The 19,823-nt window shown below is 41.0% G+C and overlaps 2 annotated features.

Moving 5' to 3' along the window:
• Positions 1,143-1,642: an enhancer, noted in NCBI's record as "H3K4me1 hESC enhancer chrX:136162623-136163122 (GRCh37/hg19 assembly coordinates)". NCBI's record gives its function as "activates a minimal SCP1, AML or CMV promoter by ChIP-STARR-seq in naive H9 embryonic stem cells {active_cell/tissue: H9 hESC(naive)}" and the evidence as "EXISTENCE:reporter gene assay evidence [ECO:0000049][PMID:30033119]".
• Positions 1,643-2,144: an enhancer, noted in NCBI's record as "H3K4me1 hESC enhancer chrX:136162121-136162622 (GRCh37/hg19 assembly coordinates)". NCBI's record gives its function as "activates a minimal SCP1, AML or CMV promoter by ChIP-STARR-seq in naive H9 embryonic stem cells {active_cell/tissue: H9 hESC(naive)}" and the evidence as "EXISTENCE:reporter gene assay evidence [ECO:0000049][PMID:30033119]".

The raw sequence follows: 19,823 nt of genomic DNA, 5'->3' as shown, positions 1-19,823 counted from the left end.
TGAAACATATTCATAACACATTTTTTAAACCCCAGAGCCTACTTTTAAATATCCTCATTACTGTAAAACTCATCAGTTTAAAAAAAGGGACTCCAAGGCAAAAGTGACCTAACAGCACAAAATTGATGGGCACAGAGTGACTTGGAGAGAAAAAAAAATCTCAGCTCCAGTTAAAATTTCACCTTGTTGATCCTGGGTTTTTCGTTTGTTTATTTGTTTTTGTGTGGTGATTTCTGACCAGTCTGGTATGTTTTAATTTATTATAGTGTTCATATAAACAAGGCAGTTAATTGTCCAAATGTTTTAAATATTTCCAGCCTAATTGAGGGGAATATCAATATGGTTTTTTGACCCCTAACCATTTACATAATAAACTCTAAACAAATCTCTCATTACCAACTTCCCTAAAAAACAAACATTACCTGCTAAAAATGGAAATCCCACAAACAGACGGAGATGGGCAGTCCCAAATCACCTTCATTCTGTCCTCATAGTTTCGTCTGCCCAAGACCTTGCCTCTCCCTCCTCCACTCCCACATCCCCTGCCTGAAGCAGTGCCATCCTATCAGTGGATGCTTACAAAATAGTCCTCTAATCATTTCTTGACCATTGGATGTTTGCTTAATAGTAGTAATAGCAGCAGCAGTGATGATGATGATGATGATGATGATGATGATGATGATGACGATGATGATAGCTACAATTAGTTGAGTCCTTAATATGTGCCAGGCATGGCACTACATTTTTTTATGTACATGGTCTCCTTCAATACTCATAAAAAGTACTATATTGTGAAGTAGGTATTACTGTTACCTCACTTTACAGATAAAGAAAATTAGCTCAAAACTCAACAGAACTAGTAAGTGAAACTAGGTCTGTCTGATCCTTTCTGCTTTCCCACATCACCCCTAAGAATTGTGTTTTCAGGCTGGATGTGGTGGCTCACGCCTGTAATTCCAACACTTTGGGAGGCTGAGGTGGGAAGATTGCTTGAAACCAAGAGTTTGAAGCCAGCCTTACCAAAGTAATGAGACACAGTCCATACAAAAAATTTAAAAATTAGCCAGGTGTGGTGGCAGAGCCTATGGTAGCTAATAGGGAGGCCTGAGTGGGAGAATCACTTGAGCCTGGGAAATGGAGGCTGCAGTGAGCCATGATCATGCCACTGCATTCCAGCCTGGGTGACATAAGAGAGACCCTGTCTCAGGAAAAAAAAAAAAAAAAAAAACGGAGCTCGAGCCAAGATGGCTGAATAGGAACAGCTCTGGTCTACAGCTCCCAGCGTGAGCGACGCAGAAGACGGGTGATTTCTGCATTTCCATCTGAGGTACCGGGTTCATCTCACTAGGGAGTGCCAGACAGTGGGTGCAGGACAGTGGGTGCAGCGCACCATGCGCGAGCCAAAGCATGGCGAGGCATTGCCTCACTCGGGAAGTGCAAGGGGTCAGGGAGTTCCCTTTCCTAGTCAAAGAAAGGGGTGACAGAGGGCACCTGGAAAATCGGGTCACTCCCACCCCAATACTGCACTTTTCCAACAGTCTTAGCAAACAGCACACCAGGAGATTATATCCCGCACATGGCTCGGAGGGTCCTACGCCCACAGAGTCTCGCTGATTGCTAGCACAGCAGTCTGAGATCAAACTGCAAGGCGGCAGCGAGGCTAGGGGAGGGGCGCCCGCCATTGCCCAGGCTTGCTTAGGTAAACAAAGCAGCGGGGAAGCTCGAACTGGGTGGAGTCCACCACAGCTCAAGGAGGCCTGCCTGCCTCTGTAGGCTCCACGTCTGGGGGCAGGGCACAGACAAACAAGAAGACAGCAGTAACCTCTGCAGACTTAAATGTCCCTGTCTGACAGCTTTGAGGAGAGCAGTGGTTCTCCCAGCATGCAGCTAGAGATCTGAGAACGGGCAGACTGCCTCCTCAAGTGGGTCCCTGAACCCTGACCCACGAGCAACCTAACTGGGAGGCACCCCCCAGTAGGGGCAGACTGACACCTCACACGGCCGGGTACTCCTCTGAGACAAAACTTCCAGAGGAACGATCAGACAGCAGCATCCGCGGTTCACGAAAATCTGGTCTTCTGCAGTCACTGCTGCTGGTACCCAGGCAAACAGGGTCTGGAGTGGACCTCTAGCAAACTCCAACAGACCTGCAGCTGAGGGTCCTGTCTGTTAGAAGGAAAACTAACAAACAGAAAGGACATCCACACCAAAAACCCATCTGTACATCACCATCATCAAAGACCAAAAGTAGATAAAACCACTAAGATGGGGAAAAAACAGAGCAGAAAAACTGGAAACTCAAAAGCAGAGCGCCTCTCCTCCTCCAAAGGACTGCAGCTCCTCACTAGCAATGGAACAAAGCTGGATGGAGAATGACTTTGACGAGTTGAGAGAAGAAGGCTTCAGATGATCAAACTACTCTGAGCTACAGGAGGAAATTCAAACCAAACGCAAAGAAGTTGAAAATTTGAAAAAAATTTAGACGAATGTATAACTAGAATAACCAATACAGAGAAGTGCTTAAAGGAGCTGATGGAGCTGAAAGCCAAGGCTCGAGAACTACGTGAAGAATGTAGAAGCCTCAGGAGCCAGTGCGATCAACTGGAAGAAAGGATATCAGTGATGGAAGATCAAATGAATGAAATGAAGCAAGAAGGGAAGTTTAGAGAAAAAAGAATAAAAAGAAACGAACAAAGCCTACAAGAAATATGGGACTATGTGAAAAAAACAAATCTACATCTGATTGGTGTACCTGAAAGTGACGGGGAGAATGGAACCAAGTTGGAAAACACTCTGCAGGATATTATCTGGGAGAACTTCCCCAATCTAGCAAGGCAGGCCAAAATTCAGATTCAGGAAATACAGAGAACACCTCAAAGATACTCCTTGAGAAGAGCAACTCCAAGACACATAATTGTCAGATTCACCAAAGTTGAAATGAAGGAAAAAATGTTAAGGGAAGTCAGAGAGAAAAATTGGGTTACCCACAAAGGGAAGCCCATCACACTAACAGTGGATCTCTCCGCAGAAACTCCACAAGCCAGAAGAAGGGGCCCAATATTCAACATTCTTAAAGAAAAGAATTTTCAACCCAGAATTTCATATCCAGCCAAACTAAGCTTCATAAGTGAAGGAGAAATAAAATCCTTTACAGACAAGCAAATGCTGAGAGATTTTGTCACCACCAGACCTGCCCTAAAAGAGCTCCTGAAGGAAGCACTAAACATGGAAAGGAACAACCATTACTAGCCACTGCAAAATCATGCCAAATTGTAAAGACCATCGAGACTAGGAAGAAACTGCATCAACTAACAAGCAAAATAACCAGTTAACATCATAATGACAGGATCAAATTCACACATAACAATATTAACTTTAAATGTAAATGGACTAAGTGCTCCAATTAAAAGACACAGGCTGGCAAATTGGATAAAGAGTCAAGACCCATCAGTGTGCTGTATTCAGGAAAACCATCTCATGTGCAGAGACACCCATAGGCTCAAAATAAAAGGATGGAGGAAGATCTACCAAGCAAATGGAAAACAAAAAAAGGCAGGGGTTGCAAACCTAGTCTCTGATAAAACAGATTTTAAACCAACAAAGATCAAAAGAGACAAAGAAGGCCATTACATAATGGTAAAGGGATCAATTCGACAAGAAGAGCTAACTATCTTAAATATATATGCACCCAATACAGGAGCACCCAGATTCATAAAGCAAGTCCTGAGTGACCTACAAAGAGACTTAGACTCCCACACAATAATAATAGGAGACTTTAACACCCCACTGTCAACATTAGACAGATCAACGAGACAGAAAGTTAACAAGGATATCCAGGAATTGAACTCAGCTCTGCACCAAGCAGACCTAATAGACATCTACAGAACTCTCCACCCCAAATCAACAGAATATACATTTTTTTTCAGCACCACGCCACGCCTATTCCAAAATTGACCACATAGTTGGAAGTAAAGCTCTCCTCAGCAAATGTAAAAGATCAGAAATTATAACAAACTGTCTCTCAGACTACAGTGCAATCAAACTAGAACTCAGGATTAAGAAACTCCCTCAAAACCGCTCAACTCCATGGAAACTGAACAACCTGCTCCTGAATGACTACTGGGTACATAACAAAATGAAGGCAGAAATAAAGATGTTCTTTGAAACCAACGAGAACAAAGACACAACATACCAGAATCTCTGGGACACATTCAAAGCAGTGCGTAGAGGGAAATTTATAGCACTAAATGCCCACAAGAGAAAGCAGGAAAGATCCAAAATTGACACCCTAACATCACAATTAAAAGAACTAGAAAAACAAGAGCAAACACATTCAAAAGCTAGCAGAAAGCAAGAAATAACTAAGATCAGAGCAGAACTGAAGGAAATAGAGACATAAAAAACCCTTCAAAAAATTAATGAATCCAGGAGCTGGTTTTCTGAAAGGATCAACAAAATTGATAGACTGCTAGCAAGACTAATAAAGAAGAAAAGAGAGAAGAATCAAATAGATGCAATAAAAAATGATAAAGGGGATATCACCACCGATCCCACAGAAATACAAACTACCATCAGAGAATACTACAAACACCTCTATGCAAATAAACTAGAAAATCTAGAAGAAATGGATAAATTCCTCAACACATACACTCTCCCAAGACTAAACCAGGAAGAAGTTGACTCTCAGAATAGATCAATAACAGGAGCTGAAATTGTGGCAATAATCAATAGCTTAGCAACCAAAAAGAGTCCAGGACCAGATGGATTCACAGCCGAATTCTACCAGAGGTACAAGGAGGAACTGGTACCATTCCTTCTGAAACTATTCCAATCAATAGAAAAAGAGGAAATCCTCCCTAACTCATTTTGTGAGGCCAGCATCATCCTGATACCAAAGCCGGGCAGAGACACAACAAAAAAGAGAATTTTAGACCAATATCCTTGATGAACGTTGATGCAAAAATCCTCAGTAAAATACTGGCAAACCGAATCCAGCAGCACATCAAAAAGCTTATCCACCATGATCAAGTGGGCTTCATCCCTGGGATGCAAGGCTGGTTCAATATATGCAAATCAATAAATGTAATCCAGCATATAAAGAGAACCAAAAACAAAAACCACATGATTATCTCAATAGATGCAGAAAAGGCCTTTGACAAAATTCAACAACCCTTCATGCTAAAATCTCTCAAAAAATTAGGTATTGATGGGACGTATCTCAAAATAATAAGAGCTATCTATGACAAACCCACAGCCAATATCATACTGAATGGGCAAAAACTGGAAGCATTCCCTTTGAAAACCGGCACAAGACAGGGATGCCCTCTCTCACCACTCCTGTTCAACATAGTGTTGGAAGTTCTGGCCAGGGCAATTAGGCAGGAGAAGGAAATAAAGGGTATTCAATTAGGAAAAGAGGAAGTCAACTTGTCCCTGTTTGCAGACGACATGATTGTATACCTAGAAAACCCCATTGTCTCAGCCCAAAATCTCCTTAAGCTGATAAGCAACTTCAGCCAAGTCTCAGGATACAAAATCAATGTACAAAAGTCACAAGCATTCTTATACACCAATAACAGACAAACAGAGAGCCAAATCATGAGTGAACTCCCATTCACAATTGCTTCAAAGAGAATAAAATACCTAGGAATCCAACTTACAAGGGACGTAAAGGACCTCTTCAAGGAGAACTACAAACCACTGCTCAATGAAATAAAAGAGGATACAAACAAATGGAAGAACATTCCATGCTCATGGGTAGGAAGAATCAATATCGTGAAAATGGCCATACTGCCCAAGGTAATTTATAGATTCAATGCCATCCTCATCAAGCTACCAATGACTTTCTTCACAGAATTGGAAAAAACTAATTTAAAGTTCATATGGAACCAAAAAAGAGCCCGCATCACCAAGTCAATCCTAAGCCAAAAGAACAAAGCTGGAGGCATCACACTACCTGACTTCAAACTATACTACAAGGCTACAGTAACCAAAACAGCATGGTACTGGTACCAAAACAGAGATATAGATCAATGGAACACAACAGAGCCCTCAGAAATAACGCCGCATATCTACAACTATCTGATCTTTGACAAACGTGAGAAAAACAAGAAATGGGGAAAGGATTCCCTATTTAATAAATGGTGCTGGGAAAACTGGCTAGCCATATGTAGAAAGCTGAAACTGGGTCCCTTCCTTACACCTTATACAAAAATTAATTCAAGATGGATTAAAGGCTTAAAGTTGGACCTAAAACCATAAAAACCCTAGAAGAAAACCTAGGCATTACCATTCAGGACATAGGCATGGGCAAGGACTTCATGTCTAAAACACCAAAAGCAATGGCAACAAAAGCCAAAATTGACAAATGGGATCTCATTAAACTAAAGAGCTTCTGCACAGCAAAAGAAACTACCATCAGAGTGAACAGGCAACCTACAAAATGGGAGAAAATTTTCTCAACCTACTCATCTGACAAAGGGCTAATATCCAGAATCTACAATGAACTCAAACAAATTTACAAGAAAAAAACAAACAACTCCATCAAAAAGTGGGCAAAGAACATGAACAGACACTTCTCAAAAGAAGACATTTATGCAGCCAAAAACACATGAAAAAATGCTCACCATCACTGGCCATCAGAGAAATGCAAATCAAAACCACTATGAGATACCATCTCACACCAGTTAGAATGGCAATCACTAAAAAGTCAGGAAACAACAGGTGCTGGAGAGGATGTGGAGAAATAGGAACACTTTTACACTGTTGGTGGGACTGTAAACTAGTTCAACCATCGTGGAAGTCAGTGTGGCGATTCCTCAGGGATCTAGAACTAGAAATACCATTTGACCCAGCCATCCCATTACTGGGTATATACCCAAAGGACTATAAATCATGCTGCTAAAAAGACACATGCACACGTATGTTTATTGCAGCACTATTCACAATAGCAAAGACTTGGAACCAACCCAAATGTCCAACAATGATAGACTGGATTAAGAAAATGTGGCACATATACACCATGGAATACTATGCAGCCATAAAAAATGATGAGTTCATGTCCTTTGTAGGAACATGGATGAAATTGGAAATCATCATTCTCAGTAAACTATCGCAAGAACAAAAAACCAAACACCGCGTATTCTCACTCATAGGTGGGAATTGAACAATGAGAACACATGAACACAGGAAGGGGAACATCACACTCTGGGGACTGTTTTGGGGTGGGGGAAGGGGGGAGGGATAGCTTTAGGAGATATACCTAATGCTAAATGATGAGTTAATGGGTGCAGCACACCAGCATGGCACATGTATACATATGTAACTAACCTGCACAATGTGCACATGTACCCTAAAACTTAAAGTATAATAATAATAAAACAAAATTTAAAAAAACAAGAATTGTGTTTTCAGAATGGGCAAATATTATAAAGAGCTCCAGGTGTTATATCCCACATTCATATAACAGATGAATACAAAGTCAAATATGGTTTCTGTTTTTCAACCAACCACCAAAACCAAGTGAATGATACCACTCTGAGTTGTACCCATGGGAGGATATACACTGATTTCAAGGACATAAACAGTGCTCCAAACTTTCTGCTGCACTTTTTGTCACAATGTCCTCCAAAACTCACTTTTAAGCCACACAAGAAAGTCCTTCCCAGAGAGACACAGCTCCTTTCTAAATCCAAAACATTCATCACCGAGCATGATTACCCACCTTATCCACCAGTGTGGGCCCTGATGACTTCTAGCTGTTTGTTCAAATATAGCCTATTCTGAGGACAAAGATTTGTCACCACTGAGGAGATTCAAAGGAATGTGCGACAGACTCTGAAGGCAATTTGACAATTGGGTTTCTTCCTCCTTTTCAACATTTAGCATTTGGTTTGCCCTTTCAAAATTTTGTGGTGAACAGGCAATGAGAAATCAGGTTTCTTTCTGAATTGAAAAACTTTTCCCTGAAAAATTCCTCAAAGTGTAATGATAAGTTCCAGAAAGTGTGCACTCTCCAAGAGACATTCATAGACCCTGGAAGGGCTATAAGTGGAAACCAGTTGCTATTTGGCCTTTGATTTGGAGTGGCCAGAATCCAGCTGGCTTCCTGGGGGTTATTCACAGTGAAACAGGAAAAAACTACTTCTCACTGCAACTCTCCTTCACTTTTTACTCCAGTAACAAGTTAATTTATGGTATACAACTCTATTCATAATCTGTCTGATGTATGTCTGTGAGAGGAGAGAACAAGCTCCTTTGCTAGGTGGCCTCTTGGAGACAAATGGGCACTGGCAAACCGATTGCCAGTTGGCCGTCCTTGCCACCACCTTTAAATACATCTTTCAAGCTGTCTCTCCTGCCCCTACTGATAAAATATTCTAGCATATTTATTGCCCAGGAAGTAGTCATCTCAACATAAGCTTGATGTACCAAACCACATTGCTAAGTAAGATATATGTTTCATGGATCAATTACCTTCATGCAAATAGCATATTACTTTAATTTAACACTCTCATTAAGTCTCGAGCTTTTTGCATTTGAGTGCGACAAAGGACACAAGGAAGAATTGTTTTTTGGTGCTGGGCATATTATGCCAACCTAACATCCCCGGGCCAAACAATGAGACTTTCTGGATGTGGGAGTTGCAAAAAAAACAAAAAGAAAAAAAAGGCAGGGAGGGACTTCAAAATAGCCTGAGCAAGCAATGGCCAACCAACCTATGGCTAACCTTTGAGCAAGTGTGGAAGAAAACCAAAAGCCATTCTGAATGGGATTGATGCCATAATTAAACGTCATGTCATATCCCTTGGATTACATATTGCCTTTGAAATTCTGGGAGCACTGTAATCAACAAGCAATGGAGAAAAAGGGTTTCATGATCTTTTTTCTCCAGTAAAGCAAACAGTGGATTGAACCATTTGTCAGAGGCACTAGTGATGTCTAGCATTTGCCTGTAGATTCTATTGAAAATCTCACTCTGAATAATCCAGGAAACAATATTTTTGGCAATTTACTGGGGGGCTTACTGAACTCTTGAACTTTTCTACCACCTTTCTCTTCTCACTTTTCATTCCCAGCCTCCCACGTTTCTCTCTATCTCTGATAGCCAACTGAATTAACTCTTATAGACCTCAAGAAGTTGGTCTAAGATGCTACTCTGTGTTAATATGCAGTCTTTTGTGTCTGTCTTAAACCTGTGTTTAACTTTGTAAGGTAACAAATTCAAGTGAAACCCAGCTGAGACACCCAACTGAGGATCTGGTGTGAAAAGCACATTATCAACTAAATGTGTCTATAATATTCTCGTTAGTGAGTAAAATTCACATCCCTATATGAACTGGAAATGCTCAATTTCTTCCCCAGGGTTTTCCCTCTTGCTAGGCTGCCTTCAGCAGAGTTAAGGCACAGTAAAACATCTCTTGTTTCTGTGTGTGAGTATGCAAGCCTCTAAGAGCTCTTTAGTCATTCTCCTCCTCAGTCTGGCTTTTAATATTCCTCAAGGGAGAGAAATTTGTTTCACATGTAACCTGAGAACATGACAATGTCCAAATCATTTTATATGCCAGTGAAATGTTGTAATAAGCACTGTTAGAAAGTTACCAAGGTCCATAAACGTCACCCATGCTTGCTGCACATTTGCTCTATTTCCATGATCCATCTGCATGAAGAAAAGTTTTAGAATAGGTGCAGTGGCTCAAGCTTGTAATCCCAGTGCTTTAGGAGGCCAAATCAGGAGGATCATTTGAGCCCAGGAGTTCAAGACCAGCCTGGGCAACATAGTAAGACCTTGCCTCTGAAAAAAAAAAAAAAAATTAGTTGAGCATGGTGGTGCATGCCTGTGGCCCCAGCTATTCAGGAGCCTGAGGTGGGAGGATCACTTGAGTCTGCAAGGTCAAGACTGCAGTGAGCCGTGATTGCACTGCTGCACTCTAGCCTGGGTGACAGAATGAGACCCTGTGTCAAAAACAAGCAAAAAAAGAATGAAAGAAAAGTTTTAGCAATATTAATGTGGCATTATAACTCTGAATGCATTCGGTTTTCTTTGTTTATAAATAGAAACAGGAAGACCTAGGTTATAAGGCTGAATGCCTGGCTGTGGAAGCAGGTCCTTCTTTTTCTGCCATGTTATTTTCTTCCCATAAAGACCGTTGGTTCTTGGGAAATTTGCTTCTTGGTGAGCCACATGAAAACTCAAATTGATAATGAGGAATTTGCATTTTCACTAGCTCACGGGAGACTGTCAGCCAGAGAGAGAACATTCCCAGTTTGCCATTTTTCAGGCCAGCATGTGGTCTGCCACTAGTGAATCACAGATCATGAGTACAATTCCTCTCAACAGCTGCATTTGCTGCAGTGGAAGTTTGTGGAAACACCACATTTGGCAAAGAGTAATTCTACATAAAGTTCCCTGGTACTGAGACCAGATTTTTTTTCCCTGCACCTCTCTTCAAAATGTCTCATATTAGTTTAGAAAATCAAGTAGTGAAACAGCTTCTAATGGCATTCCCATAACCTGTCAGCAGCCCCAAAGTCAAGTTATAAGAGCCACTCGCAGAGCCCTTGTAGACTTGTTTAGAGAATTCCTTTCCTTTGTACTACAGCAGAGACCTAATAATACCCATTTAGGTAAAATGCTTCACCAGTTCAATATCCTGCCTGGATATTGCTGCAAATTCTCCCTGCGCCATTCTTTAGGAGGAGTAAGAAATTTATAAATATCAATTGGTAACCATTTAAAGCATGCATTGATGAAAGACTTTGTGAGTAATGGTTATGGGTACAGCCCTGGGAGGGTTGCTGAATACACACTTTGACTTGATGAAGTTTTTATGATTCTGAGACAAGCCAGAAATCTATTCCCAGCCCGGAACCATTGAAAAGATGTGAGTACATCTTCAGTAAAGTCAATATAAAGTGAATATAGTCTCGCTTTTTCAGTTGTTGCTAAGAGATTTCTCAGCCTGATGACATTCCTAATACTACTATTCATTGTCAGTTTAGAAATGTACTCGGCAAACATTTCTCCCTTTATTTGCACAGAAGGCATCCAACTACTTATTGATGATAAAACTCACTGGTCAAAGGAAGTGCTCTATTTGGCTTTTTTTCTTCTCCCATTTTTGGGACTGTGTCAAATGCCACATGGACCAGCATTAGCAGCTGTCTACAACTATAATCATTTTTCTCTAATAATACCTGCATCTACTCTTAGAGAAGAGGGGGCTGAGCAGGGAGGCAGGCAGGGAGAAGGAGAGGAGGAATGGAGTGACTTACATTATCACTACATTGTAGTGATAGTGTAAAAATGGAGAGCTTAGTGAAGCCCCTTGGAATAATGGTAATAGTGCTTACTCAACTCCTAGTATTGACCCACATGTCAAAACCAAGAAAAATTAATTATTTCCTCTGTTCTTTAGGAAAATATGTATTATTTTAAGTACTGAGATAGGTTTTCCACAGCCTGTAATATAGCTGAAATTGGCTTGTTCTGCACACTAGACCCCAGGACTCCTGTCATTGCCACGTCACTTGGGTTTAAGTCCTAGTTCTTCTCCTTTCTAGCTGTCCAATCCTGAGGAAAGTCATTTCACGTCTCTGAACTGTTTTCTATCAGGAGAATGTAGAAAATCACAGCACCTACTGCACAGGGCTGTTGTGACAATCAAAATCGTGATGAGAGGATAGGACACCGTAAAGTGCTCTATGCTGCATGCAGACACTAAAGCAGCCTATAAATGTAAAGTGGCATTATCTACAATGCAGTGGTAACCTCGGTTCATGTGGCTGCTGAGAGAAGCTGCAAGATCCCAAAGTGCTTTTTGAATCAACAAAGGCACATTCGATTGTATGGAATATAATTTTGCCATAAGAAATTTTCTGTGTTCTTGTGCCTTTATGCATGTGCCATCCATTCATGTGGCACATATCTATTAAGCAAAGCAGTTGGTTAACCAGAAACCCCACCTCCCAATCGGTCTGGGTAGAAGAGTTAACCAACTCTTTTTGACGCAGAGCTGGGTGCACCCCCTCATCTTGGTGCCTCTCTTACCCTTCCCAGGCATCAGACACCTCCTGTTTTAACATGCAGGCTTCTGCAAGTAGCTCTGGCTTCCCAGGAGGAAATTGCATCTTTACCAACATGCACAAGAGAGATGGAGTGAAATCTATGTGTGGTGTGACCCCTTTACTACATGCAAATAACCAACTGGCAGCTACTTGGCTATTGGCCACTCAAATCCTAGAGACCATCTGGCAATGAGATTGCATTTACCCCTCCTGGGGCTTACAGATATATACTGGACAGCAATTAGCTCAATCCATGGCTATACAATTTCACTCCAGCTATCCTCCACAAAAATATTTATGCCTAATTCCAGCATGAATAACCAACTAACAACCCATTGTCATTGGTTGGTCACATAAGTACTGTGTATGAGACAAGCATTTCACAGATATGATACCGGGTGTATTTGTATTATATTCTTGTGAAGTACTTTGCCTCACATTATTCTACGTTTCTTCTGACAATAATCCTGAGGAGAGGGCTAGGCATAGATAGGTGCTACCCTCCACACTTTCTAAATGATGAGATTAAGACATAGGATGTTACATGACTTCCTTCAAGTAATACAGCTGGTTAATGAGAGGCCCAAGCCTCAAACCCAGGCTTCCTGACTCCCCGTGCTTTCTCTAGATGCTGATTTGTAAACATTTATTATATGGCTTAATAAGAAAATAAGTTGGAGTCAATGTAAGTGATGAGAAACAGAGAGGAGCTATCAGAACAGCCACATCACGACTATGATCTTTGTTGGCTCATCAACATGCAGCACTTCCAAGGCAAGCTCTTTGATTTTTTCAATGCAAACCCTGACTGCCTGCTTCAAGAAAGGAGAAGCACCCTATGTTAACAGGCACATTTCTTTGCATTCATCAAAAAATGCTGGCTGTAACGCAGCATCTTTTTCTCCCCAGAAACCCAGCTTCTGCTGACTCCTATCTGAAATTCACCAGCCTAACTTCCAGAATCATATTGTGTAATCCCTACAATTTTACTGTGACATCATTAATTCCTCGGCTTCTTGGCTTCTCTTTAGGAACAAGCAGGAGAAAAATCACACTGCGACAAGAACATCTTGGATCATTCATTAGCAGTCATGGCAGGAAAAAAATCTCAAAGAAAAACAGGGCTGTCCTTAAACAGGTTGCATTTTCTTCACTTTCCCCTGGACTGGATCTCTGCTGAGCCTACGAAAAAAGAAAAAAAGAAAAAAAAAGCTATTTTTGTTGTTTTTACAAACAGTAGTCCCCCCTTATCTGTGATTTTCCTTTCCACAGTTTCAGTTACTCGCAACCATGGTCTGAAAATATATACAATAAGATATTTTGAGAGAGAAAGGGAGCTCAAACACATTTGCATAACTTTTATCACAGTATATTGTTATACTTGTTCCATTGTATTATTATTGTTGTTAGTCTCTTATTCTGCCTAATTTATAAGTTTAAATTTATCAATAGATATGTCTGTATAGGGAAAAACATAATATATACATGGTTTGATGCTATCTGTGGTTTCAGGCATCCACTGGGGGTCTTGAAACAGATCCACTGTGGATAAGGGGGGACTAATATAATGAGCATGCCTGTGGGACTGCAAACTTTCGCACTGGAGAAAAGTTGCAAAGAAAACAGAGTCATGCTATTAAGCCACAAACATTGGAAGTCATTTTCATACTCCCCAGCTCTACTAATTACCAAAAATAATTATGCAACAGTAAGAGCTTTCTCCCTCATTGTGTCTGGGCTGATCATAATAGACCATCCTCAGGCAAATTTGAAGGCCAACAACTGCTTTGTTCCAAGTGGGAGACAACAGTAAACTGGGAGGAGGAGAGCATAGGGGCAGAGCCAAGAACTGGAGCAATTTAGGTTCACTCAGAAACTTCTCACATCAGAAATAGAATCAATTTCCTAATGGTTCTTCTTGCATGTTAAGTGCAAAGCAATAACAGCTCTTGTGTACCCCAATTGACTCTTAGGCTCTCCCTGAGCTGGAATAGGTAACTCTTTGGTCAGGTAGATAAAGGTGATTTTCTTGCCAGAGAGAGGCCACTCACTTTGGTGGCAGTTCCCCACGAGGAATCCCAGAAGTCGGTTGCAACCAATGAATCCAAGCTGCTGCTCTCAGGGAGGGGCTTACCTAGACTTTACCATGCCCAACTCACTGCAATTGCTCATGGCGGGTCTCATCCTGGTACCTATATCCCATCCGCTGTTTGCTCCTTTACAATTGTTACAGGTAAAATTTATAGAGAAATGCACAAATCTTAAGTGCAACATTCAGTAAGTTTTGACAAACGCATATACTGGGATAGCCCAAACTCCTATCAAGATATAGAACATTTCAATCACCGCAGAAATTTCCCTCATGCCCCATTATGGTGAGGACAAACATACTCAGAGGCAACCACTGGTCTGATTGTTTGCAACGTGGTCTATTTCAACTGCTAAGGCAATTGGAAGCCTTTGTCAGGCAGTGCCATGATCACCTTAGTGATTCAGAATGGGAATTGTGGTGGTTTTAAAATATGGCTGCAAATTCTTTAACACACTTCCCGTTGAAAGGTGGAGTCTATGTCCCCTCCTGCTGAATCTGTGTGTCATGACTGCTTTGACCAGTAAAGTACAAAGGAAGTGATGCTATGTGATTTCCAAGACTTCACATAGAAGGCCTTTCAGTTTCCACTATGTTCATTTAAATATTCATTATTGGACACTGGCCAGCATGTAAGAAGTCTGATTACCCTGAGGATACCAAGCTGTGAGGAAGCCCAAGCCACATGGAGAGGCCACATATACAGATTTATCTATTCAGTTGTTCATTCCCTTGTATTGCCGAGTAGAATGCCAATACATGACTGTACCACAGTTTGTTTATCCCTTCACCAGTGCACAGACATTTAGGTTGTTCCCATTTGGAGGTTATGACAAATAGAGCTGCTATGAGCATGCTGTTACAAGTGTTTGTGTGGATGTATGCTTTCATTTCTTTTCTGTTGGGTAAATGCCCAAAAACAGCATTGCTGGGATAGAGGGTAAAGTATGCATAGTTAAATATAAAACTGCTAGAATTTTTTTCAAAGTGGTTGTACCATTTTACGCTCCCACCAACAGTGTATAAATATTCCAATTGTGCCACACCTTTGTCAACACCTGGTATTGTCACTCTTTTTATTTTTGCCATTTCAGTGGTTGTGTAGTAGTATCTAGAGGTTTTGATTTGTATTTTCCTAATAACTAATGATGTTGAGCACTTTTTCATGTGTTTATTAGCCATTTATTATATCACTCTTGGGAAGTGTCTGTTCAAATCACTTTCCCGTTTTAAATTGGATTACTTGTCTTTTTATTATTGAGTTATAAGCATTCTCTATACATTATAGATATAAATCTTTTGTTTTATGTGTTGTAAATATTTTCTCTCAGTCTGTGGCTTACTTATCCATTTTCTGAAGGGTGTCACTTGGTGAGAAGAAATTACAAATTTTGATAAAATCTAGTTTATCATTTTTTTCTTTTATAATCTTTGTTTTCTGTGTCCTAAGGACACAGAATCCATTTTTAAGCTCACCTCTTTAGCTGGTCTCAAATCTAGCCCCTCTTCTCCTCTCTTTCCCTTTTGCAAATGACCAACTCCAAGCCACCATCATCTTTTGTCAGGACCACTGTGAGAGCTCCTTAGAGATCCAAAATAGAACTCACAATATCCAACCCTCCGCCCCTGTCCCTACCTGTCCCTCCCTCACTCTTCCCCACCTCTTTAAAAGCACTGCCATATAACTGGTCACTCAAGACAAAACCTAGAAGTCATCCTGGGCTTCTCTCTCCCTCACTCCCTACGTTCAGCTCATCACTAAGTCCTTTGGACTGTACCTCTTACCTATCTCTCAAATGCATGGGCATTTCTTCATCTCCTCTTCCACAACCTTAGCTCAGGCCACCCTGACTACGGCAGCAACTTATAATTTTTTTTTTTTTCCTGAGATGGAGTCTCACTCTCTCACCCAGGCTGCAGTGCAGTGGCACAATCTAGGCTCACTGCAACCTCGGCCTCCCGTATTCAAGCAATTCTCCTGCCTCAGCCTCCCAAGTAGCTGGGATTACAGGTGCCAACCAACTCGCCCAGCTAATTTTTGTATTTTCAGTAGAGAAGGGGTTTCACCATGTTGGCCAGGCTGGTTTCAAACTCCTGACCTCAAGTGATCCACCCACCTCAGCCTCCCAAACTGCTGGAACTACAAGTGTGAGCCACCACGTCCGGCCTACAGCAGCAACTCTTAACTACTCTCTCCAATTCCACTCTTGCTCCTTCCAAGCCATTCTCCATTGAGAAGCAAGAATGATTTTTCCATTTATCTACTCCTGCCTAACAAAGCACCCCAAAACACATAGCAGTGTAAAACGACCACCATATTTTGTGCCCCGAGAGTCCAGGGGTCAGGAGTTTGGAAAAAGCACAGCAGGGAAGGCTTTTCTCTTCTCCTTGATGTCTGAGGCCTCAGCTGAGAAGAGATGAACAGCTAAGGACTCAAATTATCTGGAGGCTTCTTCACTCATAGGTCTGGCTCCTGGCCTGAGATCACTTAAAAACTGGGTTCAGCTGGGACTGTCTGCCAGAGTGCCTATATGTGGCCTCTCCATGTGGCTCGGGCTTCCTTACAGCTTGGTATCTCGGAGTAACCAGACTTCTTACATGCTGGTTCAGTTTCCAAGAATGAATATTTAAATGAACATAGTGGAAACTGAATGGCCTTCTATGTGTAGTTTTGGAAATCACATAGCATCACTTCCCTCATACTTTACTGGTCAAAGCAGTCATGACACACAGATTCAGCAGAAGGGGACATAGATCCCACCTCTCAATGGGAAGTGTGTCAAAGAATTTGCAGCCATATTTTAAAACCACCACAGTTCCCATTCTGAATCACTAAGGAGATCATGGCACTGCCTGACAAAGCCTTCCACTTGCCTTACCAGTGACTCTCAAGTGAACATAGTCCCATCTTAATGGTGGCTCAGGATCTTCTGAGGAGCAGTCCAGCCTTCCAGAAGTTTATGTTCTTCAAAGTTCATGAGTTTATCCAACCAGGTAATTTTTATTCATGAGCACCAGAGAACATTAAAATAAAGTCATTTAAGACCTTAAAAGGATTTCTTTATGAAGGTTAAGCAGTAGGAAGAGGGAATGGCCTAACGAAGATGATGGAAAACTTTCTGAAAAGCAATTTAGCTCTCTGCATCATAAGCTTTTGACCTACCAATGCCTCTTTTAGAGTTCAATCTGGTAGGAACTGGGGGAATCCAGAAAAAAATTATGTACAGTAATTTTCATTTATAATGCTAAAAAATGGACAACTGAAATGTCCAACAATTAGGGACTGGACGAGTACTATAAGGGAATACTATACAGTCAATGAAAGTGGTTATTTTTAAGACATTTAATGACATGGGGAAATGCTCATTTAAGTTGGTAAAGCAAAACTCAGAAGTACATATGCAGTATGCATATTTTTGTTCTTTATTGCTGTATACACAGTGCCTAGAACAGTCCCTGGCAAATAATAATGCCTGGCTTAATAATCACTAAATATATTATATATATGTATATAAAATATCTGGTTATATATAATATATAACATGTATATATAATTTAACATTTATACTAATTGAATAACTAAAATGATTGAGTGCTCACAATGTGTCAAGCTTTATGCTAAAGCTATATATGGTGTAACATAACATTTAATCTCATAATCGTTGTGAGACAGTTACTGACATCATCCCAATTTTTTCGTTTTGTAGAGATGGAGACTCATTCTGTCATCCAGGCTAGAGTGCGGTGGTATGGCCATAGCTCACTGCAGCCTCAAATTCCTGAGCTCAAGTGATCCTCCCACCTCAGCCTTCTGTGTAGCTGGGATTACAGACACAAGCCACCATGACCAGCCACCCTCAATTTTTCCAGATGAGGAAATTGAAAATCTGAAAGGATAAATGATTTTGCTTAAGGGCACATAGTTACTAAATGCCAGAACCAGGATTCAAACCCAGGGAGCCTGACTCCAGAGGCCAAGCTCTTTAACAATATAGTATTACTTTATGCACAGTTTTGAACATGTAAGGAACAAAGACTGGGAGGAAAAACACCAGTGTGTTACCAGGGCCTTATCTCTAAGTGGTAGGATATGAGGGAACTGGTATTTTCTTCTTTTGCTCTTCTTTATTTTCCAAATCCTTTACAATAATTATGTGTTTCTTTTGTATTCAAATTTGTAAAATAATTTTGCTTTTAACCAACCAAAGATTTTGGAGTTCTCAGTAATCATCCCCAGTCCTTGGGTGCTCTCCACTTGGAACAGATTCACCCCCTCTGCAGTCCTAACCTGACAATATGCTCTGCTTCTCCCTCAGCAAACCTACCTTGACTGCAAGCTGCCAGTGTAAACAGCACTTCTGGCTGATGTTTGAGTTAACTGTGTCCCTTTGCAGCTTTCCTGCCTAGTCTCTGCTCTAAGTACCCTGTTCTGCCTTTACCACCTAGGTGCTCTGCCTCCTGGCAAATCATATTCCTCATGCTCTATCCTCATCTTTCATTCTCTCAGGGCCTATAGGCTCAGGATGATGTCATAGCAACACCCGGTGCAATAGTTAGAGTATGAGAAGGGAGTCTGTGTACAGAGTCCTTGCAGCGCACGGTATTCAGGGACAAGCCACGACAGCTTTCTCTTTCCTCTGACTTCTTCACATCTCTCTTCAATTACAGACCCCAAGCTAATCACACTACTCTAATAAGGCCCTGATCAATGCTAAAGGTTATTTTATGATTCCTGTAGGTTGTATTTCTGTTATTATTACACATCACAGCATTGCATTAGCTTTCAAAAAACAATCAGCATTGATTTGCTGACTCACTCTATGGCCTCCTATGATGCCTAGATCTTTCCATTATGCTTGCATCTCTAGGCAAAGAGAGAATTGATTTCCTCTCTAGTCCTTTGTAAGAGGTTCCTGTTCACTAGCCACTCCCAATCTTCCCTCCAGCCTCAGTACTACAATTGGAGAAGTATGGAAAGCAACAAAACCCTGAGTCCATTTATCAAACCCCCAAACCACAAGAAAACAAAGCAAAACAAAAGCATCATAAGTAAACTAAAGGCTCTGGCCTACTTTCCACCAGATCTCTCCAACTTTTGTTTTAAAAACTTGGGTAGCCAAAAGTACCGTTTATTTTATAGGTTGTAAACTAACGGAGTAGGATAGTCAAGAGTTTAAGCTATGGAGTCAGGGAGATCTGGATTCAAAATCCAACTCTATAGCCCCATAGCCAAGTCACTTTTTCTCTTAAGCTCTCAGTTTTGCCACATGCAAAATGGGAGTAATTATAGTAAGCTAGTTCTGCTAAACTGTGACATATGTGTTCCTAAAAATTTCCACACTGTGCAGAATTGTGCATTAAAAGTCAGAGGGCTTATGGGGAAAAAAATGGCTTTAGAGGTACAACACTCAAAAACTTCATCAAAACATTTCAAAAGATAAGAACCTAATGAAAACAGCATCACAGTTTTGCAGACGAATACCACAATAAATGTGGAACTTTAAAAAGACCTGAAGTTTGCTTGTGGAAGTGACTCTTGGAAGAGTCACAGTTTGTGAGTTCTTGTGAAGTGGTGAAAGGATGGTGATCTGAAATCAAATAGAAGTTTTAACAGCAGATGTGGCCCAGTGTGGCTCATCCCACACATCTTGGTGAACTGAGGTAGCTG

This window comes from Homo sapiens, chromosome X (assembly GCF_000001405.40).
Source record: "Homo sapiens chromosome X, GRCh38.p14 Primary Assembly".
In the NCBI taxonomy this organism is placed as follows: domain Eukaryota; kingdom Metazoa; phylum Chordata; class Mammalia; order Primates; family Hominidae; genus Homo; species Homo sapiens.
Note: the sequence above shows the minus strand (reverse complement) of the source record. Positions and strands in the feature narration are given on the sequence as shown.